Raw genomic sequence first — 27,862 nt, forward strand, 5'->3', positions numbered from 1 at the left:
TATAGTTTTTGATAATGTTAATGTCTGAGATCTTTATGGGTGAGTCTGCTGTCATTTCTGCTATTTCTCGTAGTGATTTGCTTGTATGGTTTATGATTTTTTAAAAACTGAATGTGTATTAGAATTGTGTCTGGTAATTCTTTAGGGACCCATTGTAGATGTATTTCTTCAAAGAGCATTTGTGGTTATTATATTTGGGTGCTTGGGGCACTGCCAATACAGGACCACTTTTAAATTAGGATTTTCAATACCTATGTATTCAGACCACAAACCTGCACGTGCCCTATGTTATTGTCATGAATTATATGGGAAGATACTCCTCCCCCTCCACTAAGCACCAAGTTTAAGATCATTTTTATGGAGAAAGTATTTTTCTCCTCTCTTTTCAGGTCCTTGCTTTGTGTAAGGGTCTCCTGTTTTAAGAGTTCCTACCTTAGTGGTGGGTGGGGTAGGTGTATCTCTTAAGGCTAACACTACTTGGATGTTCTCTTTGGATTCCTTCCTTCGATGTTGTGTCTGCAGACACTTCGCTTTCTTACCAGCTCAAGAAGGCTTCCTAGGAAATACTAGCCAATACTTTGACTGTTGTTTAGGTTCTCCTTTTTATCATTGAAATAAAAAGACCTGTTTACCTTCAGAAATTTCAAAAAATATCTAGTTTGCAATGGTACTGTTATTTTGCAGTGTCATTGATGCACACTTACTTTTTTTTATCTTTTGAGACGGAGTCTAGCTCTGTTGCCCAGGCTGGAGTGCAGTGGCACAATCTTGGCTCACTGCAACCTCCACCTCCCAGGATCAAGCGATTCTCCTGTCTCAGCCTCCTCAGTAGCTAGGATTACAGGTGCATGCCACCATGCCGGCTAATTTTTGTATTTTTAGTAGAGACGGGTTTCACTATGTTGGTTAGGCTGGTCTCGAACTCCTGACCTCATGATCCGCCCACCTCGGCCTCCCAAAGTGCTGGGATTACAGGCATACAGGCATGAGCCACTGCGCCCGGCCTTTTTTTTTTAAACTGATGGGGTCTTGCTATGTTGTCCGGGTTGGTCCTGAACTCCTGGGCTCAAGCAGTCCTCCCACCTTGGCCCCCCAAAGTGCTGGGATTACAGGTGTGAGCCACTGCACTTGGCCCGATGCGCTCTTTTTTTCCTTTTCTTTTTCTTTTTTTTTTTTTTTTTTGAGGTGGAATCTTGCTCTCACCCAGGCTGGAGTACAGTGGAGTACAGTGATGTGATCTCGGCTCACTGCAACCTCCACCTGCTGGGTTCTAGCGATTCTCCTGCCTCAGCCTCTCAAGTAGCTGGGATTACTGGCACATGCCACCACACCTGGCTAATTTTTGTATTATTAGTAGAGACGGTGTTTCACCTGTTGCCCAGATTGGTCTCAAACTCCTGGCCTGAAGTGATCCGCCCTTCTCAGCCTCCCAGAGTACTGGGATTTCAGGCGTGAGCTATTGCGCCCAGCCTCGATGCACTCTTAAAATATTTTATTTTCATGAAATTTCAGTTTGAAGGAACAGAATCAAATTGCCCAGTCTGCCATCTTGATTTAGTTTTCTATTTAAACTTTTATTGTATATGTTATATTTTTAATTTCTAAGAACTTTATTTTTTGGTATCTTTTTTTTGAGATGGAGTCTTGCTCTGTCACCCAGGCTAGAGTGCAGTGGCGCGATCTCAGCTCACTGCAACCTCCACCTCCCAAGTAGAAGTGATTCTCCTGCCTCAGCCTCCCCAGTAGCTGGGATTACAGGCGGGTGCCACCACGCCTGGCTAATTTTTGTAGTTTTAGGAGAGACAGGGTTTTACCATGTTAGCCAGGCTGGTCATGAACTCCTGACCTCAGGTGATCTGCCCACCTTGGCCTCCCAAAGTGCTAGAATTACAGGAGTGAGCCACCGTTCCTGGCCGATACCCAGTTTTTAAATTATTTAAAAAAAATTTTTTATAGCAGCCTGAAGCTGTAGTATCCCTTTGAGCTCACCAACAGTACTAATTACTGAACTTATTAAAATGTCTGTTATTTCCCATCACATCCTTCCGGTTTCTTTGCCTGCTTAGCTCCATGCCACTCTTGGACTATTAATAGTAATATATCTGGCCGGGCACGATGGCTCACACGTGTAATCCCAGCTCTTTGGGAGGCCGAGGCAGGCAGATCACCTGAGATTGGAAGTTCGAGACTAGCCTGACTAACGTGGAGAAACCTGGTCTCTACTAAAAAAAAAAAAAATATATATATATATATATATATATATATATATATAAAATTAGCTGGGCATGGTGGTGCATGTTTGTAATCCCAGCTACTCAGGAGGCTGAGGCAGGAGAATCACTTGAACCTGGGAGGCGGAAGTTGCATTAAGCCGAGATCGCGCCATTGCACTCCAGCCTGGCAACAAGAGCGAAACTCTGCCTCAAGAAAAAATATAGTAATATATCTGGATTTCATTTTTTTACATTTGCAAATGAATTCCAGCCTGGATTAATGTTAGCCCAGGTATTAATAGTGGTAGCAATTGCTTTTATTATTGTCAGTTTCCCTTAGCACACTTACCTTCCCGGTGAAGCCCAAAATCAAACAAATCTTTCTCCCTCTGTAGCCTGCTTGGCCTGGGCAGTTTGCTTCTAGCCCTTCCACCTACCAGTATTCATTGTACGGAGAAGCTATTTTACAGAGGACGGCTTTAGTGTCTCTTGAGGGATTTAGTTCTGTATTCTCAGGGGAATCCGTAGAGTACTCCTTTAGAATTCATTCCTCTTAGCAGACTCAACACTACATTGTAGTCACAAGATAAAGGTTTGTGTCTCAGCTTCTTGTCTTCTGACATTTGTTGTTTCTGTTGGATCTTGCTAGTGTTTTCTAAACTTTAGTAGAAGCAGGAGCTTGGAGCTTTTCTTAATTTCAGTGTAATTTGTATATTTGCCTTGGTTCTTAATTATTTTTTTGTTTAGTATTAGAGAAATGGTAAATAGGTACATATACTGCCAGAAATACATTTTTTTCCCTCATTATATAAATGTTATTCTAATCAGAAAATTTGGGAAGGCAGTGATGTTGATTCTAGACAACTGTGAAAGGCACTATCGTTAACTGGAGAAATTAATGTGTTGGTCTTGTCAGGAGATTGCTTGCTTGATAAGAATAGCCTCAGGGAGGGACACCAGCTGCTGATACAATGATGGCACCACAGATTAACATGCCTGTGCCCTTACTCTTGCCAAATCAGGTTGCAGAAGAACGCGGAGTCTTATATAATACAAGGAGATGTCTTTTCAGCAAGCCTAGCTAGCCTAGCCTTTAGCTGATTAGAAAAGAAGGTTGAGGCCGGGCGCGGTGGCTCACGCCTGTAATCCCAGCACTTTGGGAGGCCGAGGCGGGCGGATCACGAGGTCAGGAGATCGAGACCATCCTGGCTAACACGGTGAAACCCCGTCTCTACTAAAAAAAAAATACAAAAAATTAGCCGGGCGAGGTGGCGGGCGCCTGTAGTCCCAGCTACTCGGGAGGCTGAGGCAGGAGAATGGCGTGAACCCCAGGGGGCGGAGCCTGCAGTGAGCCGAGATTGCGCCACTGCACTCCAGCCTGGGCGACAGCAAGACTCCGTCTCAAAAAAAAAAAAAAAAAAAAAAAAAAAAAAAAAAGAAGGTTGAAAAACCAGGTTCCTAAAAAGGTCATGATTTTCCTGATCCATTTTGCCATCTGGACGGGAATTTTTAAGTCATTTTTTATTGGATATCTGGTAAACGAGATTTTAGATTGTATGGCGTATAAAATTACAGCACGTTTCCGATTTCTGCCTGTTATTTCTCCTCCAAAGATTTTTTTGAATAAACAACCAAACCCAAGAAAGAAGCTTCTTGTGCCTTGTGCACTGGATCCTCCCAACCCCAATTGTTATGTATGTGCCAGCAAGCCAGAGGTGACTGTGCGGCTGAATGTCCATAAAGTGACTGTTCTCACCTTACAAGACAAGGTCAGTGCAAGGCCTGGGTCTCTTTTCCTTTTGCTTTTACAGTATTACTGTGATGACAAACAAACACTAGCTGCTGATTCTGAAAAGGTCCAACTGCAGAGATGTGTGGCTGTGATTTCCTGGGTTATTTTGCCTTCTGGATTCCTGCAGGCTTTTCTGTCTGTGGTTCCAGAATAAGTGCCTCACATTCCCAGAATGGAGTAGGAGTATTTGACTGGAATCTGCAGCACAGTGGTGGCACAGTATCACAGCAAGCAGAGGACTTCTTTGCTCTTTGCTTCCCAGGCAGTGGGTAAATTCTGTATTTTTTGACAAATAACAGGTATCCTTGAATGGTCCTCACTGTGGCAGTGAGCAGATAAGTATTTGCATGCAGTGCAAAGTTTGCATTTCCAGTAGAGCAAAGCCCCAGTTACCAGCTTTGTATTAAAGGGTATAAGTAACTTGCAGAGTTTTGGTTTCTCTGCGTGTTGGACAGTGCCCACTCCCAGCAAATTAGGGGGCTTTTGTTATTTCTGAGGTCTGAGTTGAGGCTAAGTGGTGGTACACACTTATCTAATATGACCTGATTCTGATATGGTAAGTTAGTCCCTGAGGACATAGGGCATTTGCACACCTGGATTCACCTCTGGAGCTGAAGCGAGGGAAGAAATGGGGGTTTAGGACATGGTCTGGTCCTTAAGTTCCTGTTAAATTGGCTAGATTTGTGTATTAGGGGAGATTTTCTTTTTTTATGACCCAAAAGTGTCACTTTCCACTTTGGGATCACTTCCTATTGTTCTCTGGTTGTGACCATCATAATGCTACATATTTACATGCCTCTTGAGAGAGGAGGAAGTGGCCCTTCTCAAATAGCAGTGCTGCCTGATAGGGAATGGCCTTTCTTCCAGAAACTGGTTAGGCAGGACGGATTGATTTGAGCTTATGTTTTGGTCAAGGAAGTGGCAGGTACAGCAGCGGGTGGTTGCCCCAGTTTCTTTTCTAGGAAATAATTATCTTTGGTATCTCCTGATTCTTGAGCTTCAAGGTTATTCCTCTATTTGTAGGATTCTTAGACCTATAGAGAGTTCCTCCTTTTTTCCTTCTTTCTTTTTTAGGAGCTGGTAGGATTTAACAGAATATTATCACTTCTCTAAATGCATGGAACGGGGAGACTTATCTGAGAGTCAGGTTAATGAGAACTGATTCCATCTATGAAACCCCTGCCATTACAGGGTTGGCACAGAGACTGAAATGAAATATGTCAAGTGTGTAGCTCACTACCTAACCTGCAGGGAAAGACAAAGTAGCAAGAGCCAGCCAGGGAGTTCCTAGTCCCCTGTTGAGATGAAGTTGGATCTGATCTGCATCAGTGGTCAGATGTGGGGATGGAACTCAGGTGAATCCCCACGGCTTTCCTGCTTGCTCTAAGGGATCTTGAAGAGTGACTTCGCCGGTTTCCAATAAATAGAAGGGGAAAGTAAGAGCCTTTATAGAAGTCTAGGATTTCTTATGATCTTTAATTACCTACGTTAATATTTTGAATCCTTTTTTTTTTTTTTGTAGATAGTGAAAGAAAAATTTGCTATGGTAGCACCAGATGTCCAAATTGAAGATGGGAAAGGAACAATCCTAATATCTTCCGAAGAGGGAGAGACGGAAGGTATCATACATTGTATTTATTCATTCCTCTCATTGAGGAGACTGCTTGAAGAGTGCACATTAGTTGATTCATTTACTGTATGTGATACTCAGTATTGCAGAGAGTGGCAGTGTTTGGTCATGAAGGTGCTCTTTCAAGGTGACATTGCTGGGGGTCATCACACTTCCATGTTTGGGAACTCCATGTCAGACATTTTCAGGGACTGCAGTGCTCTTGTCCACTTCCAAGGAACCTCCTTGCCGATATCATGGATCCTGGGAGCTAACCTTGTGATGAGAAGACTATTCTGTCTGTCAGATCACAGTGGGTAGGGTTCTAAGGCATTTGGAGATTTTTCTCCAAGAGTGGGGAAGCCTTGGTAGCCTGTTCCTACTATATAGCAGAAAGATTATTGAAATTCAGTGCCCGGTTTTGGCTTTCTGATCTTTCCTTTCAAAAGTTCAAGCAGTTCATCCCTTTTGCTAACACATTTGCTATACAAGGTACAATACATTTGATTCTGTTGAAGCTTTCATAGTAAGGATTGCATCGTAGTTATTCCTCCTTCAGACTGTACTCGTTGATCCTATACCTCCTTGGTCACTTTTGCAGCTCATTTCTTGAGTTGCTGTTCTCGTTTTTTCCATGTCCCAGTTTTTGCCAGTGTACTGTTATTTTCGAAGGTTTCTAGGCCCTGTGTTTCCCTGTATATTGACTTAATTCATACCTATTTGTCCATTGGTCATTTATTCATACTTTGTGAGGTCCTGATGGCGATTCAGATGTTAAGCCTTCTTTAAATTCAGGTTTAGTGTCAAGGTTCTTCTTGGTTGTAGTTGCTTGTTGAGAAATTTTTTGGGCTATTAGGTCATGTGTAATTGGAGGCCATGTTTTGGCTGTGTGGTGCTCTATTTTAGGAGTCTACTTGAGTATTCAAGCCTCATTCTAGCCAGCTGACTTTTAAAAAAATGTTTGTTTGTGATTATATGCTGTCCCTTAGTTGTAGCCAGCTCTTTCAAATGCTAGCTTAAAAATGGAAACTGGTCAGGAATTTCAGTGGCTTCAGCGTGACCCTTCTGTACGGAATACATGTGGTATGGAGGGTGAGACAGCACTTACCAGAATATGTGTGGAGTCCTGTATGACAGGCATAGTTTTGGGTATTCATAAGTCAAGGATGAATAAGACAACAGACCTTGGCTTGAAGTGCCTTGCAGCCTGGAAGAAGGGAGATTGTCAACAGCTGGATTGAGCATCGTCCAAGGAAAACTAGAAAGAGTGTGTACACAGTATGAATCTAAGGAAAGTATATTCAGCTTTGTGAAACGGAGGGGGAGTAATAGGAGAGGGAGTACTCTTGGGTCAGTTTTTGAAGTAGTAGTGAGGACTCCCTGGACAAAGAAGAGAGCATTTAGACAGAATGAACATCTGTCTACAAAGGTGTGAACTTGTGAAACAACCTAAACTGCCTTGGGAGTGGCCCATTATTTGGTTTCGCTGGAAGTTGGGGTGCTGAGGGGTTGGCAGCAGTGGTGAGGTTGAAGTCTTTCTTGTCACATGTGCAGTGTGTGTCTTCCTCCTCTCCCTTGACCCCTACCCTCCAGAGGAAGGGGCAGTATTTCACTGCCACCTGCCACCAGGGTTTAAACAGGGGAGTAGCAGGGAGCTATTAGGGAGGAGGGGATTGAGGGATTTTTACTAAGGCAGAGGCAGGTGATAGATTTGAGATTTGCAAAGTCAGAACTTGGAGCCCAGTTGAGGAATAGCATTACAATGTTAGCAGCGTTGTTAGGCGAGCACAAGACTTCACAGGTGATGCTAGTTCACCAAAATGTGAACCCACATTAACTGGTTTTCCTTTTGAATGTGATGGTTCCAAGAGGTTTGCAGTCAGTGGAGATGTGTGAAAGGGCTTGGAGGTGGAAATCTGGGTAAGAATGCCAAGGGCATTCCTGGTAGATTAAAATGGTAAAGCAAGCAACAGATCTGGAAAAGAACTAGGAGAAACTGTTAGTATTTTCTGGGTGTCAACGTAGGGAAAGGCGTTCTAAGCGTTTTCCTTATAAATAATGAAAAAATGTTAAAAAGCCAAAAAAAAAGTGGGGGGAGACTGAAAATTGAGATTATATAGAAAATTGGGCTTGGTGCACTGGCTCACACCTCTAATCCTAGCACTTTGAGGGGCCGAGGCGGGCAGATCACTTGAGGCCAGGAGTTTGAGACCAGCCTGGCCAACATGGCAAAACCTCATCTCTTGTAAAAATACAAAAATTAGGCCGGGCGTTGTAGCTGTAATGCCAGCACTTTGGGAGGCCGAGGTGGGTGGATCACCTGAGGTCAGGAGTTGGAGACCAGCTTGGCCAATATGGCAAAACCCTGTCTCTACTAAAAATACAAAAATTAGCCAGGCATGGTGGAGGGGGTGCATTTAATCCCAGCTATTCGGGAGGCTAAGGCAGGAGAATCGCCTGAACCTGGGAGGTGGAGGTTGCAGTGAGCCAAGATGGTGCCACTGCACTCCAGCCTGGACAACAGAGTGAGACTCTGTCTCAAAAAAAAAAAAAAGAAAGAAAATTAGTTAGGCATGGTGGTGCACACCTGTAGTCCCAGCTATTCTGGAGGCTGAGGTAGGAAGACTGCTCAAGTCTGGGATGCACTCTGGCCTGTGTGACACGGTGAGACCCTGTCTTTAAAAAAAATTGATTTGAATGGGGAAAAGTTTTCAGAATTTCTCAGTTTGGTCCCCCTGAAGTAGTTTCGGTAGTTAAGTGTTTTAAGACTGAATTCCCAGCGTTTTAATGTTTTAGGGTACTAGGGCCTCCATAACAAATACCACAACCCAGGTGGCTTAAACAACAGAAATTTATATTCTCACAGTTCTGGAGGCTGGAACACCAAGATGAAGGTGCTGGCAGGTTTGTTTTATTTTAAAACCTCTCTCCTTTGCTTGCAGATAGCTGCCTTTCTGTTGTGTCACATAGCCTTTCCTCTAGGGGTGCACATCCCTGATGTCTCTGTCCAGATTTTGGGATTGATTGATTGATTGATTGATTGACTGGAGACAGAGTCCTAAAAATTTTTTTTGCTGCTCTGTTGCCTAGCAGGCTGGAGTGCAGTGGTACAGTCACACGCCTCACTGTGTAACTCCTGGGCTTCAGGAATCAATCCTTCCCTGGCCTCCCAAAGTGCTGAGATTATAGATGTGAGCTACTGTGCCTGCCTTCCTCCTCCTATAAGGACATCAGTCAGATCAGATTAGAGCCCACCCTACTTGCCCCATTTAAATTTAATCATTCCTTTAAAAAGTCTTATCTCCAAATACAATCAGATTCTGAGATACTGGGGATTAGGGTTTCAACCTTTGGATTTTGGTGAACGGGACACAAATCAGCCCATAACAGAGGTTTAGCTTTTTAAAAAATCAACCTGACTGCTCTATGAAGATGTAACTGAAGTATCTAAATTATTCACGTTTCCTAGCTAATAATCACAAGAAGTTGTCAGAATTTGGAATTAGAAATGGCAGCCGGCTTCAAGCAGATGACTTCCTCCAGGACTATACTTTATTGATCAACATCCTTCATAGGTAAGAGCTATTAGTATTTTAATTGTAAGAAATTATTTGAATATATAAACTTTAGACAAAATGAAGGAAAAGTGTTTTCTTATCCTTAAACCCTGCTGTTCATTTGAAACTGTATAGTATATTTGGTTGAGTTGGTCACTGAGTTCCGTGATGTTTGACCTACAGAAAAATTTGAGGATTCAGAAATTGGCGGGGTGTGGCGGATCACCTGAGGTCAGGAGTTCGAGACCAACCTGGCCAACACGGTGAAACCCCGTCTCTGCTAAAAATGCAAAAATTAGCCGGGCATAGTGGCAGGCGCCTGTAGTCCCAGCTACTTGGGAGGCTAAGGTAGGAGAATCCCTTGAACCCGAGAGGTGGAGGTTGCAGTCAGCCGGGATCGCGCCATTGCACTCCAACCTGGGAGACAGAGTGAGACTCCAACTTAAAAAAAAAAAAAAGAAAACCAGAAATAAAAGAAATAAGCAAAAAATGTTTTAAGAGTAACTGTCATCAGTGGTGGCTTATCAGAAAGACCTAGAGTCCAGGTGTTTGAACAGTTTAAACAGAGGCAAATTCATTGTAGTAATTAAACTGGAATAAAATTATTAATTATTTTTCAAGGTTCTCTAGAAAAAAATATTTCTTCCATAAAACAAATCATTTCGTTTGTGATTTTGTGGCAATAACAAAAGAATATTGGGAATTGTCTGTACTGGCTGGGCATGGTGGCTCACACCTGTAATCCCAGCATTTTGGGAGGTCGAGGCGGGTGGATCACCTGAGATCAGGAGTTTGAGACCAGCCTGGCCAAAGGCTGGTGGTGGCGCATGCCTGTAATCCCAGAAACTTAGGAGGCAGAGGTTGCAGTGAGCCAAGATTGCGTCATTGCACTCCAGGCTGGGTGACAAGAGCAAAACTCCATCTCAAAAAAAAAGGAATTGTCTGTACAGATTCCTGAGTCTATAGCACAGTTAAGATAGACATGGCCCCCTATTCTGATATATTCATGTGTTGACCAGGGTGCATTTTTGTTCATGCTCATTGACATGGTGGAACTGTGCCTGACTTGAGATTTATGGGTAGCATCTAACAAACATAAAGGGTTTAGTGGTGCTGCCACCTGCGTCCAGTTATTTTGTCAATATTTTCATGAGTATACAAACATGCATAGTGTTGGTGTGGTTATTTGGAGAGAACTACATTTCATACTTTGTTTATAAAAAGCATAAAATGACAGGAAGGAGGCCAGGTGCGATGGCTCATGTCTGTGATCCCAGCACTTTGGGAGGCTGAGGCGGGTGGATCACGAGGTCAGGAGTTCAAGACCAGCCTGACCAACATGGTGAAACCCCGTCTCTACTAAAAATACAAAAATTAGCTGGGTGTGGTGGCATGTGCCTGCAGTCCCAGCTACTCAGGAGGCTGAGGCGGGAGAATTGTTTGAACCGGGGAGCCGAGTTTGCAGTGAGCCGAGATTGCGCCATTGCACTCCAGCCTGGGCGACAGAGGGGGACTCCATGTCAGAAAAAAAAAAAAAAATGACAGGAAGGACTGAATGTGAGTTATTAGTAAGTAGTGTATTTCACAGTTAGATAATGGAGTCAAAGTGGTCCTGCTTCAGTTGGACACTAGATATAAGTGGCATGCTTGTTTTCACTTGTGAAAGAAAAGACAGTGGAAGGACATGTACAATAAAGTGGAAATACCACAAGGTATCTAAAAGAGGAGGCATAATTAGGGTTTTTAATCATATTTTTTAGCTCTCTGGGAACAGAACCCCACCCCTTAAAACGTGTGTCTTTTGTTTGACTTAAATGTTTCTGATGTTTTTGGGAGTTCATGTACAGAAGCATGGTGTAGCTTGTAAAGATGGGGGGACCCAGAAATCATGTAGTTCTGCCCATAAGACACCACATTACTATAGTTAAGATCACATTGTAGGCCAGGCGTGACGGCTCACACCTGTAATCCCAGCACTTTGGGAGGCTGAGGCGGGCGGATCACAGGCTCAGGGGTTCAAAACCAGCCTAGCCAATATGGTGAAACCCTGTCTCTACTAAAAATACAAAAAAATTAGCCAGGTGTGGTGGCGCGCCTATAGTCCCAGCTGCTTGGGAGGCTGAGGCAGAAGAATAGCTTGAAAACCTGGGAGGTAGAGGTTGCAGTGAACCGAGATCACGCTACTGCACTCTAGCCTGGGTGACAGAGTGAGACTCCGTCTCGAAAAAAAGAAAAAGATCACATTGTAAGTAGAGGATGTAGAAATCTTTTTTTGGCATTGTAGCTAAAGAAATAATGTCCAAGAGTTGCTTTAGGCCACCAAGCTTTGGACCCAGTTTTATGCTTCAGCAATAAAAGTTATTTACTGTTTTAAAGAAACAAAAAACCAAAACCTTGCCCTGATTTGAAAGTGCATGTAGAGTTTTTGATTATCACAGAAATTTGTTGTGTACCGTCTTTTTTATTATAAGTTCAGTGCTTTGAAAATTAGAATCCAAGGTGGGTATGGTTGGCTCACGCCTGTAATCCCAGCACTTTAGGAGACCAAGGTGGGAGGATGGCTTGAGCCCAAGATTTCAAGACCAGCCTGGGCAACATTATGAGACCCTATCTCTCATTTTTTTTTAAATAAAAATTAAAAAAAAAATTAGAATCCACATATTTGGTGTATACATAGTGTATGCTTTGAGGAACAACAGGATTTCTCTGGTGCTCCTTTGCTTTCTAAATAGTCATAGCAGTGACCTGTGTGATTCTCCTACAGTGAAGACCTAGGAAAGGACGTTGAATTTGAAGTTGTTGGTGATGCCCCGGAAAAAGTGGGGCCCAAACAAGCTGAAGATGCTGCCAAAAGCATAACCAATGGCAGTGATGATGGAGCTCAGCCCTCCACCTCCACAGGTGAGTATGGCCCCAGCCAGCAGGTTGTTAAATACCCACAAAGCAGAAGTAAAAACAAACTGATTATTAGGAACATTGACCATAAATCCATAAAACTACTAGAGGTGTGTATTGGTTTGGTATTGATTGTTGTAATGGAGCTTTGAATTTATGAACCATGAAGACATTTAAGGCTGGGTGTGGTGGCTTACACCTGTAATCCCAGCACTTTGAGAGGCCAAGATGGGAGTATTACTTGAGGCCAGGAGTTGGAGAACAGCCTGGGCAACACAATGAGAGACCCCCATCTCTACAAAGAAAAAAAAAAATTAACCACGCATGGTAGCGTGTACCTGTAGTCTCCGCTACTCAGGAGGCTGAAGTGGTTCACTTGAACCCAGGAGTTCGACACTGCAGTGAGCCATGATTGCACCACTGCACTGCAGCCTGGGCAACAGCAAGACCATGTCTCAAAAAAAAAAAAAAAAAAGTCATTTAAGGCCTGGCATGGTGGCTCACACCTGTAACCCCAACGCTTTGGGAGGCCGAGGCGGGCAGATCGCCTGAGCTCAGGAGTTTGACACTAACCTGGGCAACACAGGGAAATCCCATCTGTACTAAAAATACAAAAAATTAGCTGGGCGTGGCAGCATGCGTCTGTAGTCCCAGCTACTCGGGAGGCTGAGGCAGGAGGCGGAGGTTGCAGTGAGCTGGGATCGCGCCACTGCACTCCATCCAGCCTGGGTGACAGAGCGAGGCTTCCGGCTCCAAACAAACAAGTCATTTAAGACTGGGGGAAATTCTTATGGAAATTTCTTACAGAAAATAAGAACACTTTGTTATTTTTTGTTAATTGGTTTTTAACAGTTTGAAATGATAGTTTACTAGTGTGCAAAGTCAGCCTATGTAGTAGCAGGTTGGGGTTTTGTATGCTTGTTTTAAGGAGCAATAAATCCATGCATCTGACTATTTTGAGTGAACAGGTGCTTGTTAAGTATGGAATTTAGGCATGTTAGAGTTTCCTTGTCACCAGTATGACTTGGGTATAGTCCTTTCCCCTGGATTTTCAGTGCTGGTGCTTGGTATTTTTCCAAATAACTGATTGTTTACTGTATTCTGATTTGAATATTTACTCCTCTCCCTTTCTTCCTTTAGTTAGGAAACTAAAGGTTACCAGATTTTGACTTCTTTGTTTTCATTTCTTTGACCCTATGTCTGTGGCATTCTTTGGAATATGTTTACTCTTGGCTCTAATGTTCTCTTGAGAATTTTGGAGACGAACATTCAGATTATGGCCTGGGTCATTGGTTCATAACCTGTTTTTTCCCCCCTCACTGAAATTAGAAAGGTCCGTCATCTTCCTTTGAGGAAGAGACTATCTGGTAGATTTTCCAAAATCATAATTTGAAATGTACATTTATTGATTCTCTACTGTGGGTAGGTTTCCAAGGTTACAGCCATGAGTAAGATAGGTATTCTGCCTTTGATTTTGTTGGACGAGGAGATAAAACCACCTTTAGTATCAGTTCTGCATTGGGGATGGTTCCTGGCTTCATCCTCTGCTACTATGTAAGCTTGGGAAGTCATTCACTGAGTTTCCTTTCCTGGAAAGCAGATACTCATGTGATCTTCTTTATAGGGTTGTGATGATTAAATGAGTTGTCATATGCACAGTGCTCAGAACAGTTCCTGGCACATTGTAAGTGCTGTATTGTTGTTGCTATTGTTACCACTACTACCATTATTAGAATATGTACCCTCTGCTTTTCTATTGGAGAATGTGGAGGTAGAATCAAGGATGTGTAATGAGTACTTTGAGTTACATAATGCTTGTCACAATTTTTTGTTTTGATTAGAAAATAAATAGGTTCTTATATAAAACATTTAAAACAGTATGGAAATACGTAATGTGTAAAGTGAAAATGCAGCCATTCTTAAGTCTGGTGTGTATTAGAAGAGTCAGCTTTCAATTATAGAAAATACAGGTGAGCACAGGTAACTCCCACGCTTTTACCCATTTTCTTTTTCCCTTTTTTCTGAAATAAGCTCAAGAGCAAGATGACGTTCTCATAGTTGATTCAGATGAAGAAGATTCTTCAAATAATGCCGACGTCAGTGAAGAAGAGAGAAGCCGCAAGAGGAAATTAGATGAGAAAGAGAATCTCAGTGCAAAGAGGTCACGTATAGAACAGAAGGAAGAGCTTGATGATGTCATAGCATTAGATTGAACAGAAATGCCTCTAAACAGAACCCTCTTACTATTTAGTTTATCTGGGCAGAACCAGATTGTTATGTCCTTTGTTCCAAAGGGAAAAAATTGACAGCAGTGACTTGAAAATGATTCTGCTCCCTTTGAAAGCATTCATTTTGCTAGAACTGTTAGACACATTGCAGTATGCTGTATTGAAAGTAGGAATATAGTTTTAAAAACCCTTTGAACAAAGTGTGTGCATAACCAGTCATGAGATAAAACAACACAATGCATGTTGCCTTTTTAATGTAAATACCCGTAGGTATCATTAATAGTTTCAAAATATTGTGGTTTAGTAAAGTTGATACCTGGTTATAAATATTATGCCTTTATTTTTGGCTAGAAGAAGAATTATTTTTAGCCTAGATCTAACCATTTTCATACTCTTAACTGATTGAAACAGATTCAAAGAAGTATCGAGTGCTATGCATTGAAACTTGTTTTTAAATGTTAGATGGCACTATGTATATTAATGTAAAACAATGTTAATTTACTCAAGTTTTCAGTTTGTACCGCCTGGTATGTCTGTGTAAGAAGCCAATTTTTGTGTATTGTTACAGTTTCAGGTTATTTATATTCGATGTTTTGTAAAACTCAAATAACGACTATACTTATGGACCAAATAAATGGCATCTGCATTCTTGTTACACATGCCTGCACAGTTCCTGTTTCTGCTGCCTTATATCTACTGCAGGAATGTCAAATTCTTTTCATTAAAAAAAGAACTCGGTCGGGCACGGTGGCTCATGCCTGTAATCCCAGCACTTTGGAAGGCTGAGGCAGGTGGATCACCTGAGGTCAGTAGTTCAAGACCAACCTGGTCAACATGGTGAAACCCCATCTCTACTAAAAAAAAAAAAAAAAATTAGCCGGGCCTGGTGGCAGGCACCTGTAATTCCAGCTACTCAGGAGGCTAAGGCAGCAGAATTGCTTGAACCCGGGAGGCAGAGGTTGCAGTGAGCCAAGATTGTGCTATTGCTACTCCAGCCAGGGCGATGAGTGAAACTCCATCTCAAAAAAGGTTCAGAAGATCTCCACTGTTTGCCAAAGACGAGTACTTTCTTTTCTTTATTCTTGGAGACTTCACATGTAGGAAGAGTACTTTCTAAAATAAAGCTCTTCCTGCGTGTGGTGGTGGTGCACATCTGTGTTCCAGCTACTCAGGAGGCTGAGGCAGGAGGATGGCTGGAGCCCAGAAGTTCAAGGCCAGCCTGGGTAACATAGCAAGACCCTGTCTCTAAAAAATAAGTAAATAAAATAAAGCTTTTAATGGCAGTGGGTTTTTTGTTCGTTTTTGAGATGAAGCCTCACACTGTCATCTGGCCTGGAGTGCAGTGGCGCGATCCTGGCTCACTGCAGCCTCCGCCTTCCAGGTGCAAGCGATTCTCCTGTCTCAGCCTCCCCTGTAGCTGGGATTACAGGCGCCCTCCACCACGCTCAGCTAATTTTTTGTATTTTTAGTAGAGATGGGGTTTCACTATGTTGGCCAGGCTGGTCTGGAACTCCTGACCTCGTGATCCACCTGCCTCAGCCTCCCAAAGTGCTGGGATTACAGGCGTGAGCCACTGCGCCTGGCCTAATGGCAGTGTTTTTAAAATTTGGATTGTCAGCAGTTGGCCTTTGTTGAGAAAATGTGTGACTTTGCCCAAGCCCAGTAACTTGGAGCCTTGAATTTGAGATGCTGGAAAGGGAGTCCTTCCTCCTTTCTGCAGTGTTTGTCTGGGTTGTCCCCTAGTTTACCAAAGTCCATTTTGAATGTACCATCCCCAGCCCAACTCCAGCCTACAGATAGTGCCAGACCGCCAGTAGGTGGAGTAGCACTGTCTTCCTGGTCCCGGACCTCAGAGGGCTTTGCCTGTTAGGGTACTCTTATCACTCAGAGATGGGCCTTGAGTTTTCAGAGAACAGAAAGCCATTAAGCTGTTTCCCCTATTGTATTCATGTGCCCTTTGTGTTTCTGGCAATAATTTATTTTATATTTCAACTAAATTTTAAATTTCTAATTCATGTATTGTTCCTTGTGTAATTTGTACTGTACCATTCAGCTTATTAACCATTACTCCTTGTTTTCCACCATTTGTAAATTCAGCATGTAATCAGAGCTTTCAGAAAAACCATGTAGAAGACTGGGTGTGGTGGCTCACACCCATAAGCCTTGCACTTTGAGAGGCTGAGGCAGGAGGATCGTTTGAGCCCAGGAGTTTGAGACCAGCCTGAGCAACATGGCAAAACCCCATCTCTACAAAAAATACAAAAAGTAGCTGAGCCTGGTGGCACTTGCCTGTAGCCCCAGCTATTCGGGAGGCTGATGGAGGAGGATCGCTTGAGCCTGGGAGGCGGGGTGTGCAGTGAGCCAAGATTGTACCACTGTACTTCAGACTGGGTGACAGAATGAGACCCTGTCTCTGAAAAGAAAAAAAAAGTCATGTTGACTAAGACTCAGCCTTCTGGAGCCCCAGAGTGGAGTGACTTTCACCTGTGAGCTTCATCTGCCTTTAGGTTTTTAGAAGGTGTTTAATTTTCCTCCAGAAAATAATTTGAAACTTAACTATGTAATATAAAATGAAATATCTTAGGATGCCGTCTCACTCTTCAAACTTTTTATTCTGAAAAGCTCTCTAGAAATTTGATTTTGAAATTCTGTCCATTCTTACACATCATCCTGCCTGCCTTTATTTTTGCAGTGGTGCCGTCATAGGTCACTGCAGCCTTGACCTCCTGGCTTCAAGCAATTCTCCCTCCCCAGCCTCCTAAGTCCCTGGAACTACAGGAGCTCACCACCATGCCCAGCTAATTTTTAAAACTTCTTTTGTGGAGACGGTCTCACGTTGCCCAGGCTTGTCTCCAACTCCTGGCCTCAAGCGATCCTCCCACCTTGGCCTTGCCAAGTACTGGGATTATAGGCCCTGAGCCGCGTGCCCTGTCCTCACCCTGCTTTGTAGACACAGTTAACAATGTGTTCCCGATATTTTGTGTATGTTCTTTTGTTCTTTCCTATTTGAATGTATAGTGCATGATGATAAGTGCCAGTTAGGTCTGCGGAGTTGTTTCTAATTTGGCAGACCAGTGTTTTTCATCTTTGCATTAACTATTACTACCTTTTTCAGCAGGTTTGTTAGGAAGGCAGGTCTGACTACTAGTTGCAGGGATCCTGTACAACTAGACAGTGTACCAAAGCAAATCCAAGCTTTCCCTAGGTGCCTAGAGGGTGGAGACACTTCAGATCTTGTGTTGTATTCATGGTTTTTCCATGTAAATTGTCTCACCAGCTGGGAGCTGGGAGTAGGGCTTGCAAAGGGAGTTTCCTCAACAGCTTCTTTCCACCTCCAGCCTGAAATATGGTGTTGACAAACTGTCTTCCAGCCTCACTTGGAACAGTGTGGTGACAAGTTTACCTAGAGAATCCATTGTCCTGAAGACTACTGGCTGCTCAGCATGTGCCATGAGAGGTTCCAACATTTTAACCCATTAATGAGATAACTGACCAGGCAAAGATCACTGGATGCCAAAACCTTTCAGGTAAAAGGCTGCTGAGGAACAGAATTTTAGCACAACACTCAAATGTTGCTGCACAGGTCACTTGCAAAAGGAAAACATCAATCTTTACTTATTTTAGAGAGGGGCGTCTCGCTTTGTCCCCCAGGCCGGAGTGCAGTGATGTGATCACAGCTCACTGCAGCCTCGACTTCTCAGGCTCAAGTGATCTTCCCACCTCAGCACCCCTGAGTAGCTGGGACTGCAGATGTGAGCCACCACGCCTAATTTGGAAAACACCAATCTTCACAATTGACAGATCTGACTGCCGCCACCATAATCAAGTGATCAAACCTAGTGTCACTTATGGGACGGCCTGATGTTTCTGTGCTTCCTAAGATGATACCAAGAACACAGCAGTATCTCACCAAGAAATTGTTGACTGGAATCTAACCAAGCATCTAGACCTCCAGCTGACAGGAAATGGAGAGGGGGTAGAGGCACAAGTTAACATTTAGAAACAATCAGGTGAGCAGAATATCTGTGATATTCCGTAACTGCCAGGGCTCTTCAGTAAGTGTCATTTCAAAAAAGGAAGGAGTAGGCATTCTGGGGTTAAAAGACATTTAAGAGACAACCCAATACAATGTATGAATAATTTTTTTTGCATCCTAGTTCAACAAAAATGACTATAACAATTCTTGTAACAATTGGAAATTTGAAAATGAAACGAATATAGGTAATATAGAATTGTTTTCTTCAGTACGATAATGTGATTGTAATTATGTTCTTTTTAGTGTATTATGGGCAAATCTTCAATACCAGCAACTTTTTTTTTTTTTGAGACGTACTTGCTCTGGTGCCCAGGCTGGAGTAAAGTGGTATAATCATAGCTCATTGCAGCCTCAAACTCCTGGGCTCGAGCGATCCTCCTCCCTCAGCCTCCCACGTAGCTGGGACTGCAGGTGTTACGCCACCACGCCTGGCTAATTTTTTCAATTTTTTGTAGAAGGGGTTTTGCTCTGTTGCCCAGGCTGGTCTGAAAGTCCTGGGCTAAAGCGATCTTCCCTCCTTGGCCTCCCCCAAAGTGCTGGGATTACAGTTGTGAGCCACTGCACCTTTCTCAGGCTATATGGGGAGGAAAACAGCAAAATTAACATTTATTGAACCTAGGTACTGTGTGTGTTTCATTGTACCATTCAGCTTTGAAAACTTTCATAATAGAAGTGAATATATGTATATATATGCACACACGCACAAATGCATATATACATACACAGGCAGTCTATTTTCCTTTTGTGCCTATTTGACTTTTCCAAGTTTTATATTGAGTATGTCCTATGATTAAAGTCAGAAAGGCAATAAAGGTTATTAAACATATAAGGTGGAAAGAGAAAGTGTTAGTGGGATTCTGGGCTCAACACTGTTGAAGTCAGCTTTACCCATCCTTCTTGTTGCTAGGCTGTGACTTAGGAAGGATTCTCTTTCATTTGAGCCTCCAGAGAACTAAGCCAGGTGGTTCCCACTAGATGAATGGCCCACTCAGAGGCTGCCAGACAGCATTTAGTTGATAATAGATGTTCCTGAAAATTGTCCATCAGTGGCATACATGTCTGACGTGGACTTGGCCTACACCCAAGGAACATGGCCAAATGTAAGCCACTTACCAGCCTTTTGTAATATACAAAAACCAAAAATGTGGGCCAGGTGAGGTGGCCCATGCCTGTAATCCCAGCACTTTGGGAGGCTGAGGCAGATAGATCGCTTGAGGCCAGGAGTTCGAGACCAGTCTGGCCAACATGATGAAACCCCATCTCTACTAAAAAAATAGAAAAATTAGCTGGGTGTGGTGGTGCACACCTGTAATCCCAGCTACTTGGGAGGCTGAGGCATGTGAGTTGCTTGAACCCGGGAGGCAGAGGTTGCAGTCAGCTGAGATGGTGTCATTGTGCTCCAGCCTGGGTGACAGAGTGAGACTGTCTCAAAAAAAAATAAATACATGAATAAATAAATAAAATAAAAATGTGAAAAGTAAAGAAAACCCAAAAAGATCAGAGAAGAAAAAATGTCAGCAGATGTTTCTAGTCATTGTGACATGTAGAGGTAGGGAGGACCTCCTGTTTCTTTGCATTTTAAAGCAATATTCCTGAGGTCCATTTGACCATTTTGAGGGAGGATATATTTAGAGAAGTATTTTTATTTCACACTGGGAGCACATTATTTGCATTGTGCTCACAGAAGGAACATTTTCTTTTTCCTGCATCCAATTCAAAACACATTGCATCCAAAAGCTTATTTGAAAAATTTTAGAACTCAAACTAAAAAAATTAAAAATCAACAGTTGAACTACGGGGCTACAACGCCACTGTGTAGTTTGGCTATGTTTTGAAGACAATTATCTCCTGGTAAAGTAACATTTTAGGAAGTTTTGCTAAATGTCTCTGACTCATGCCAGTTTTAAAAATTTTAAGTCTAGCAACAAGTGATGACTCACAGATTGGGAAAGATTCTGAGCAAAAGCTTTACCAGAACGTACAGCGTCTGAGAAGGTCCTCAGGCTTTGCACTTTAGAGTCTTTCAATGGTTTACTTTGATTCTCAGATCAACCAGTCTCAGGAAATTTAGGCACTGTGCAGACGATGTCATTCAGCCATTCTGTCAACACAAATTGCAGTGCTGCACTCGGTGGAAAACGTTACCACTGTTGCCAGCCTGGGTGGAAACCTTTGAAAGCACAATGAACTAAAGACTGGCGTGAATGAAAACCCAACTCCTCATGTCATTTTGACAGCAGTAGGTGGTGAGTTGGAGATCTGAGCACCCACACCCTGTGTGCTGCCACACTGAGAGGCAGATGTCCCAGTTGGTTATAGCAGCAGCTTCCGGGAGGTTTGGAAGTCATAAACACCAACCTCATACTGAAAAGCCTAATGCCAGGTTGGGCATGGTGGCTCATGCCTGTAATCCTAGCACCTTGGGAGGCTGAGGCAGGAGGATCATCTGAGCCCAGGAGTTCAAGACCAGCCTGGGCAACATAGTGAGACCCTATCACTACAATAAATAAAAAATTAGCCAGGCATGGTGGCATGTGTCTGTGGTCCCAGCTACTTGAGAGGCTCAGGTGGGAGGATCACTTAAGCCAGGAAGTTGAGGCTGAGGTGTGATCACAGCACTGCAGCCTGGCCAAGAGAGTGAGACCCTGTCTCAAAAAATAATAATACCAAAAGCTCCATTAATCTGGGCATCCCCAAATAGGTCCTCCCCATTGAGCTGTAGATTGGCTGGGGTTTTTTACCATGGTACAAAGTTAGGGCAGAAATTCCCATTCCTGCGTGCATGGTAAGGCTTCAAGACAAGAAAAGAGGGCCTTTGCCAGATGCAGTGGTTTGTACCTGGAATCCCAGCACTTGGGGAGGTCAAGGCAGGAGGATTGCTTGAGTCCAGGAATTTGGGCAACATGGTGAAACCTCACTCTACGAAAAACAACAACAACAACAACAAAAATTAGTTTGGCATGGTGGCATGCGCCTATAGTCCTAGCTAACCTGGAGGCTGAGGTGGGAGGATCACTGGAGACCAGGAGCTCGAAGCTGCAGGGAGCTGAGCCATGATCGCATCACTGCACTCCAGCCTGGATGACAGGGTGGGATCATGTTACAGACACACACACACACCAAACAAACAGCAACAACAAAAAACAAAAACCCCCATGGAAACAGGAAGGAAGCAAGCTGCAAGTATCATGTCTTAGCCTTAATTCTTAGATTGGTTCCCCAATCTATCCATGGCTTCAGTGATCAATGCTTTGAATCTTCTTGCATCCTCAGGCCTAAAGGGGATAACAGGACCAGGAGAGATTGAAGTTAGGCTCAATCTGGCAGAAAGAGTGGGGCCTCAGAGAAGAGGGGTTGAAAAAATTCCCTTGGGTGCCCAGCCTGGTATTATATTTTTGAGTATGAGGTTGGTTTCTATGACTCTTAGAGCTCCTGGAAGCTGCCTCTCAGCGTGGCAGCACACAGGATGGGTGCTCAGAGAAGAGGGGATGGAAAAAGCCCTCCCAGTGGATAGGACAGAACGTGCATCTTGAGCCTGGTGCTGTGTGTGGGAGGAGTGGCCCCCAGGAGCTGAGCTGGAAAGGTGTGTGTGCTTCAGGTGAGAGACTGGTGCTGGAAATTCGACAAGGGTAAAAACTGTCATAGGCTAAGGAGAAAGAAGTGTGGGTCCCAGAAACTTCCTGTGGAGTTTGGCTGCCATTCCCCTTCCCTCATAACCCGTTATCCAGTCACAGCTGATTGATAAGTGGCCTAGGACTCCATGAGAAAACCCCTGAATTCTGTCAATACCTGGGGTCCATACAGTACAGACAATTAAGGAGGTCTAATGGAAGCTAGATTACAAGGAGGGGCATGAGGGGCTCCTTAAAAAATCACCATTGTAGGCTGGGCTTGGTGGCTCACGCCTGTAATCCCAGCACTCTGGGAGGCCGAGGCGGGTGGATCACCTGAGGTCAGGAGTTTGAGACCAGCCTGGCCAACATGGTGAAACCCCGTCTCTCCAAAAAAAAAAAAAAAAAAAAAAAAAAAAAATATATATATATATATATATATAGACACACACACACACACACATACATATACATATATATACACATATATATACATACATATATATACACACACATACATATATATACACACACATACACACACACACACACGTGCACACACAAAAGTTAGCCAGGCATGGTGGTGGATGCCTGTAATTCCAGCTACTTGGGAGGCTGAGGCAGGAGAATGGCTTGAACCTGGGAGGCGGAGGTTGCAGTGGTTGCGGTGAGCCGATATCACGCCATTGCACTCCAGCCTAGGCAACAAGAATGAAACTCCGTCTCAAAACAAAAAACAAACAAAAAATCACCATGGCGTGGACAGAGTCTGGGTAGGGTCAGCTCCTGGGTTCTGGGAAGATGATGATGATGATGGTTCAGGACATGGTGCAAGACTAGATTGAACATGTCCTGTTCTGGCCTCCAAGTGTGTCTTTGCTTAACAAAGGGAAGACCAGTTAACTTGAGAGGATGATAAACTGGAAGCCACAGTGTAGTGAAACCCCTCCTTTGGAACAGTGGGACTCAGGCAGCGGTGTGTGGAGCCAGCTTATCCCAGCTTGCAAGAACTGGTTATACCCATTTCTTTCCAGCTCAGTTCAGTGGCCCCATCTTTATAGCTTGAAATTGGCCATGCTGGGAGTATTTATACCATGGTAATTGGCAAATGCTACACATCAGGGCTCCTGATTTATACAAATTCCTCCCCAGAGAGCTGGTTGTTAGACATTTACCAGCACACCACTGGACTCAGGAGGAAAATGCCCAGAGAGAGGTGAACACAAAGAACATTCCTGCAACAGGGGAGGACAGAGGGGGAATCAGTGGGGGCTGGACATTGAGTCCATGGACAGTGCTTTAAATCCCTTGAGAGAGCCCCATCCCCATCCTTCTCCTGGACTGTGCATCTCAGACAGAAGGAGCCAGTCTGTTGAGATCACTCAATACCCCTGGAGTGAGGAGATAGAAGATGGGGTCAGGGGGACATTTGGGTAATGTAGAGATGAGACCCCACAATTCTGCAGACTACTTCAAATCCACCTAACATCACAATAGTCTGATTCCCAAGCCATTCATTAAATCTTTTGAATATAACTGCTTAATGTATTTCCCACTTCAAGGATGTACTTAAACTATTCTAATGGTAAATATCAAACATTTTAGGTTGTTTCTGGGTTTTGTAGTTGTCATTTATTACTAGTAGAGCAAGTAATAGGTTTTAGCTGACCCTGGATGTGAATATAGTTTAAATCTTGAAAGCTCTAAGTGGGCAGGTGGGGAAAGAACAGTTGTTATTATTATTATTATTATTATTATTATTATTATTATTATTATTATTATTCTGGAGGCAGGGTATTGCTGTGTCACCCAGGCTGGAATGCAGTGGTGTCATCTTGGCTCACTGCAACCTCTGCCTCCTGGGTTCAAGCGATTCTTGTGCCTCAGCCTCCCAAGTAGCTGGGATTACAGGCGTGCACGACTACACCCAGCTAATTTTTGTATTTGTATTTTAATAGAGACAGGGTTTCGCTATGTTGGCCAGGCTGGTCTCAAACTCCTGAGCTCAAGTGATCCGCCCGTCTCAGCCTCCCAGTGTTCTGGGATTACAGGAGTGAGCCACCGTGCCCAGCCAGAACAGTTATTAAATACTTGACTTTATTGTTTTTGTAGAGACAGGGTCTTGCTCTGTCACCCAGGCTAGAGTGTGGTGGCACAGTTATAGCTCACTGTAACCTCAGACTCCTGGGCTCAAGTAATCCTCCCGCCTCTGTCTCCCGAACAGCTGAACTACAAGTGCCCGTCACCGCGCCAGTTTAATTTTTTGTTTTTTATTGTAGAGATGAATCTCGTTCTGTTGTCTAGGCTGAAGTGCAGTGGTGCCCTCACTGCTCACTGTAGCCTTGACCTCCTGGGCTCAAGCATCCTCCCGCCTTAGATTCCCAAAATACCTGGGACTACAGGCATGTGCCACCATTGGCAGCTAATTTTTAATGTTTTGTAGGGATGGAATCTCACTATGTTTCCCAGACTGGTCTTGAACTCTTGGCCTTAAGCAATCCTCCCATACTGGCCTCTCAAAGCACTGGGATTACATCACACTCAGCCCAACAGCTGCCTTTAAATGCAGAGAGCTCCCTTTGAGCATCTTTTCAGAAGGCTGGAGATCCTAGGACAGAATAGATCAGGGGTCCCCAACCCCTGGGCCACAGACCAGTATACCACCGCCTGTTAGGAACTGGGCCACACAGCAGGAGGTGAGCAGAGGCGAGGGAGCATTACCACCTGAGTCCCACCACGATTCTCACAGAAGCACGAAGCCTATTGTGAACTGCGCATGCGAAGGACCTAGGCTGTGTGCTCCTTATGAGAATCTAATGCCTGATGATCTGTCACTGTCTCCCATCACCCCCAGATGGGACCGTCTAGTTGCAGGAAAACAAGCACAGGGCTCCCACTCTTTCTATGGTATAGTGAGTTGTATAATTATTTCATTATATATTACAATGTAATAATAATAGAAATAAAGTGCACAATAAATATAATGCCCTTGAATCATCCTGAAGCCATTCCCACCCTCCCCATCCCTGTCTGTGGAAAAATTGTCTTCCACAAAACCAGTCCCTGGTGCCAAAAAGGTTGGGGACCGCTGTAGATTACCTAAATGATGTTGGGATTATACGACACGGTTGTGATTGGATTATTGTCTGCATTTTTGATAACTTCCCTTGAATAGATGTTTAGCAGCAGTATTACTGCTTCTAAGTTTCGTGTTCGTTTGTGCGGATGTTGACACCGCCAAACTGCTCTTCCCAAAAGGATATCCCAATTTGCACTCATACCAGTAGCATATGTGCAACTGTTTCACCACAGTCCTGCCAATATTGTAATTTTTAAATAGTAGATAATGCAGTCCATGAAATGTGATATGACTGAACTGGCTTTTCCTTTCTCATTTGAAAGGTAGACCATTTTTCATGTCCTGGCTTCCCTGGGTATTTGCTCTCCCAAATGCTGGCTTCTAGACCCCGCACGGAGTCTCATGCCTGTAATCTCAGCGTTTTGTGTGGTGGTGTGCGCCTGTACTCCTACGTACTCAGGAGTCCGAGGTGGGAGGATTGCTTGAGCCCAGGAGGTTGAGACTCTGGGGTGTGTGTGATCACTGTGAGCTGTGATCACACCACTGTACTCCAGCCTGGGGGACAGAGCGACACCTTGTCTGAAAAAAACAAAACAGCGCAACTCCCCCACCCTCCGCGCACACGAAATGCTTGCTTCCACTTCCCCTACCCTGGTGGGGCAGGGGCTGGAACTCCGCAGGCTATGGGAAGGTGCTGGGGTTAGCGGCCCCAGCGGGTGCTCAGTGGTGTTGAGGCCACACTGCCCTGGGCGGTCTGGCCGGGACAGTTCCCGTGCGGGCTCCCTGCGCGCTGAGCCACTGTAGGCGCCTTCCCGAAAATCTCTGAGCAGAGAGGGCCTGGAAAACAGTACTCTCTCACGCAACACTTTTCTTGGATCCATCAGGCCCTGACAGATAACGGTTTGGTTTTCTTCCCTATAGCCGTGTGACTTGTACAAGGGATTTTAGTTGTGTCCTTGGGCACGAAGCCCTAGTCACCTCTCGATTCCCCACCTATGTGGCCCCTATGGCCCCGCTGGTTCCAGGACCTCCCCTCGAAGCCTCACCCACCACCCTGGATGCAGGTGCTGGAAAAGGGAGGAGTCCCCATATTTCACGGGGACTGCCTGTGATGGCCACAGGGGAGGCTCGCCGCCCACCGGCTCTGAGCCTGAGGCCTGCTTCTAGCCTGGCCTTGGGGGCCTGGGCGAAGCGACCCAGCGCGAGGACCAGTCCCCAACCAACCCGCTCCTAGTTCTGGGCGCCTTCCCCAGCAGTCAGATGGGGGCTTCAGAGGCCGGTGCGCGGCCACATGGCCCCGGGCCAGGCAGGGGGTCGTGGGGACGCATCTGCGCTAGGCGCACAGTATTCCTGGGCGCGGGACGGGCGAAGCGCCGTGGGTTCCAAGCTGAGCTGGGTCGGCCCTGCAGCGCCGGAGAGCAAGGCGGCGCAGGGAAGGGAGATGGGGCGGGATGTGGGGAAAGCTGTCGACTGCTTGGATCTCTCCGGCCCGGATGGCGCCAGCTGCCTCCAGCTCAGCCTGCGGAAATCCGAGCTCTTCCCAGCGGCCCGACGGCCCGGGCGCCCCGCAGACCCTGGGCTCTCCCCGCGGTGCCTCCGCCGCCCGCCCCTGCGTCCTGGCCCGGCCTCCACGCCCCTCCGAGGTCCCGGCGCAGCGCGGCCGCCGCCACTCCCCCCACATTCCAGAGGCCGCAGCGCCGTCTCCTTCCTCGCATTCCTGCCCCCGCAAAGGAGTCCCTCCGCCCCGCGCGAGGCCGCGGCGAGGAGGGGGCGCGGCCCGGCGCCTGGGAGCTTACATTCCTCCGCCGCGCGCGCCGCCGAGCAGGGCGCCGCGTCCCCCGGCCCGCGCGTGGCCGCCGGAACGACCCCGGCCCGGCGCCGGCCCCGCCCCGCCCCGCGCCCAGGGGTCCCGGGGCGGGCTCCGGGCTTCGGGCGGACGATGCGGCGGCCCGGCCGGAGCGGCGGCGGGAAGCGGAGGCGGAGGTGACGCGCCAGGGCCGGCGGGCCGGGCCATGCAGCGCTCCAGGGCGGGCGCGGACGAGGCGGCCCTACTCCTGGCCGGGCTGGCCCTGCGGGAGCTGGAGCCCGGGTGCGGCTCTCCCGGTCGGGGGCGGCGGGGGCCGCGGCCTGGGCCTGGAGACGAGGCGGCGCCCGCGCTGGGCCGCAGAGGGAAGGGCAGCGGCGGCCCCGAGGCCGGGGCGGACGGACTGAGCCGCGGGGAGCGGGGTCCCCGGCGCGCGGCGGTTCCGGAGCTCAGCGCGCAGCCTGCGGGCAGCCCACGGGCCAGCCTGGCGGGGTCCGACGGCGGCGGCGGTGGCGGCAGCGCCCGATCCAGCGGCATCAGCCTGGGCTACGACCAGCGCCACGGCAGCCCGCGCTCCGGTCGCTCGGACCCGCGTCCCGGTCCCGGGCCGCCTTCGGTGGGCAGCGCCCGCTCCAGCGTTTCCAGCCTCGGCTCCCGGGGCTCGGCCGGCGCCTACGCTGACTTCCTCCCGCCCGGCGCCTGCCCCGCGCCCGCTCGCTCCCCGGAGCCTGCGGGGCCGGCTCCCTTCCCGCTGCCTGCACTCCCGCTGCCCCCTGGCCGGGAGGGCGGCCCAAGCGCGGCCGAGCGGCGGCTGGAGGCGCTCACCCGGGAGCTGGAGCGGGCGCTCGAGGCGCGCACGGCGCGGGACTACTTCGGTGAGCTCGCTCGGCCCGGCAGTTCCCTGCGCGCATGGCTGGGGTCCGGGGTTCCGAGACTGCCTCGGGTAGGCGGCCGGATCAGCGGAGGAGAGCACGGGGCTGGCTGGGGGTGCAGCAGTGCACGGGGTTGGGACGAGGAAGGTGCATCCCCTGGGGACTG

At 46.2% G+C, this 27,862-nt stretch overlaps 2 protein-coding genes across 10 annotated transcripts in view, besides 3 other annotated features; both read left to right on the forward strand.

The window, feature by feature from the left end:
• UBA2 (ubiquitin like modifier activating enzyme 2) overlaps positions 1-16,309 on the forward strand; it is a 42,871-nt gene extending 26,562 nt beyond the window's left edge. For 3 of the 7 annotated variants that reach the window (NM_001411139.1, NM_005499.3, XM_006722962.3), the window contains 5 exons: positions 3,827-3,982; positions 5,528-5,624; positions 9,084-9,189; positions 11,936-12,072; positions 14,098-16,309. In NM_001411139.1, coding sequence (NP_001398068.1) covers positions 3,827-3,982; positions 5,528-5,624; positions 9,084-9,189; positions 11,936-12,072; positions 14,098-14,279 — 678 coding nt within the window. In that variant the 3' untranslated portion in view covers positions 14,280-16,309. Of the gene's footprint in view, positions 1-3,826; positions 3,983-5,527; positions 5,625-9,083; positions 9,255-11,935; positions 12,073-14,097 lie in introns of those variants that run through there. The other 4 variants (XM_011526304.3, XM_024451305.2, XM_047438019.1 and 1 more) reach the window with 2 other exon arrangements.
• Positions 25,889-26,543: an enhancer, noted in NCBI's record as "H3K27ac-H3K4me1 hESC enhancer chr19:34971736-34972390 (GRCh37/hg19 assembly coordinates)". NCBI's record gives its function as "activates a minimal SCP1, AML or CMV promoter by ChIP-STARR-seq in naive H9 embryonic stem cells {active_cell/tissue: H9 hESC(naive)}" and the evidence as "EXISTENCE:reporter gene assay evidence [ECO:0000049][PMID:30033119]".
• Positions 26,544-27,199: an enhancer, noted in NCBI's record as "H3K27ac-H3K4me1 hESC enhancer chr19:34972391-34973046 (GRCh37/hg19 assembly coordinates)". NCBI's record gives its function as "activates a minimal SCP1, AML or CMV promoter by ChIP-STARR-seq in naive H9 embryonic stem cells {active_cell/tissue: H9 hESC(naive)}" and the evidence as "EXISTENCE:reporter gene assay evidence [ECO:0000049][PMID:30033119]".
• The window catches only part of WTIP (WT1 interacting protein), a 30,547-nt gene continuing 29,500 nt past the window's right edge, over positions 26,816-27,862 (forward strand). For all 3 annotated transcript variants that reach the window (NM_001080436.2, XM_011526452.4, XM_006723014.5), the window contains exon 1: positions 26,816-27,699. In NM_001080436.2, the coding sequence (NP_001073905.1) occupies positions 27,033-27,699 (667 nt within the window). In that variant the 5' untranslated portion in view covers positions 26,816-27,032. The remainder of the gene's footprint in view (positions 27,700-27,862) is intronic.
• Positions 27,200-27,854: an enhancer, noted in NCBI's record as "H3K27ac hESC enhancer chr19:34973047-34973701 (GRCh37/hg19 assembly coordinates)". NCBI's record gives its function as "activates a minimal SCP1, AML or CMV promoter by ChIP-STARR-seq in primed H9 embryonic stem cells {active_cell/tissue: H9 hESC(primed)}" and the evidence as "EXISTENCE:reporter gene assay evidence [ECO:0000049][PMID:30033119]".

This window comes from Homo sapiens, chromosome 19 (genome assembly GCF_000001405.40).
Source record: "Homo sapiens chromosome 19, GRCh38.p14 Primary Assembly".
Classification (NCBI taxonomy): Eukaryota; Metazoa; Chordata; class Mammalia; order Primates; family Hominidae; genus Homo; species Homo sapiens.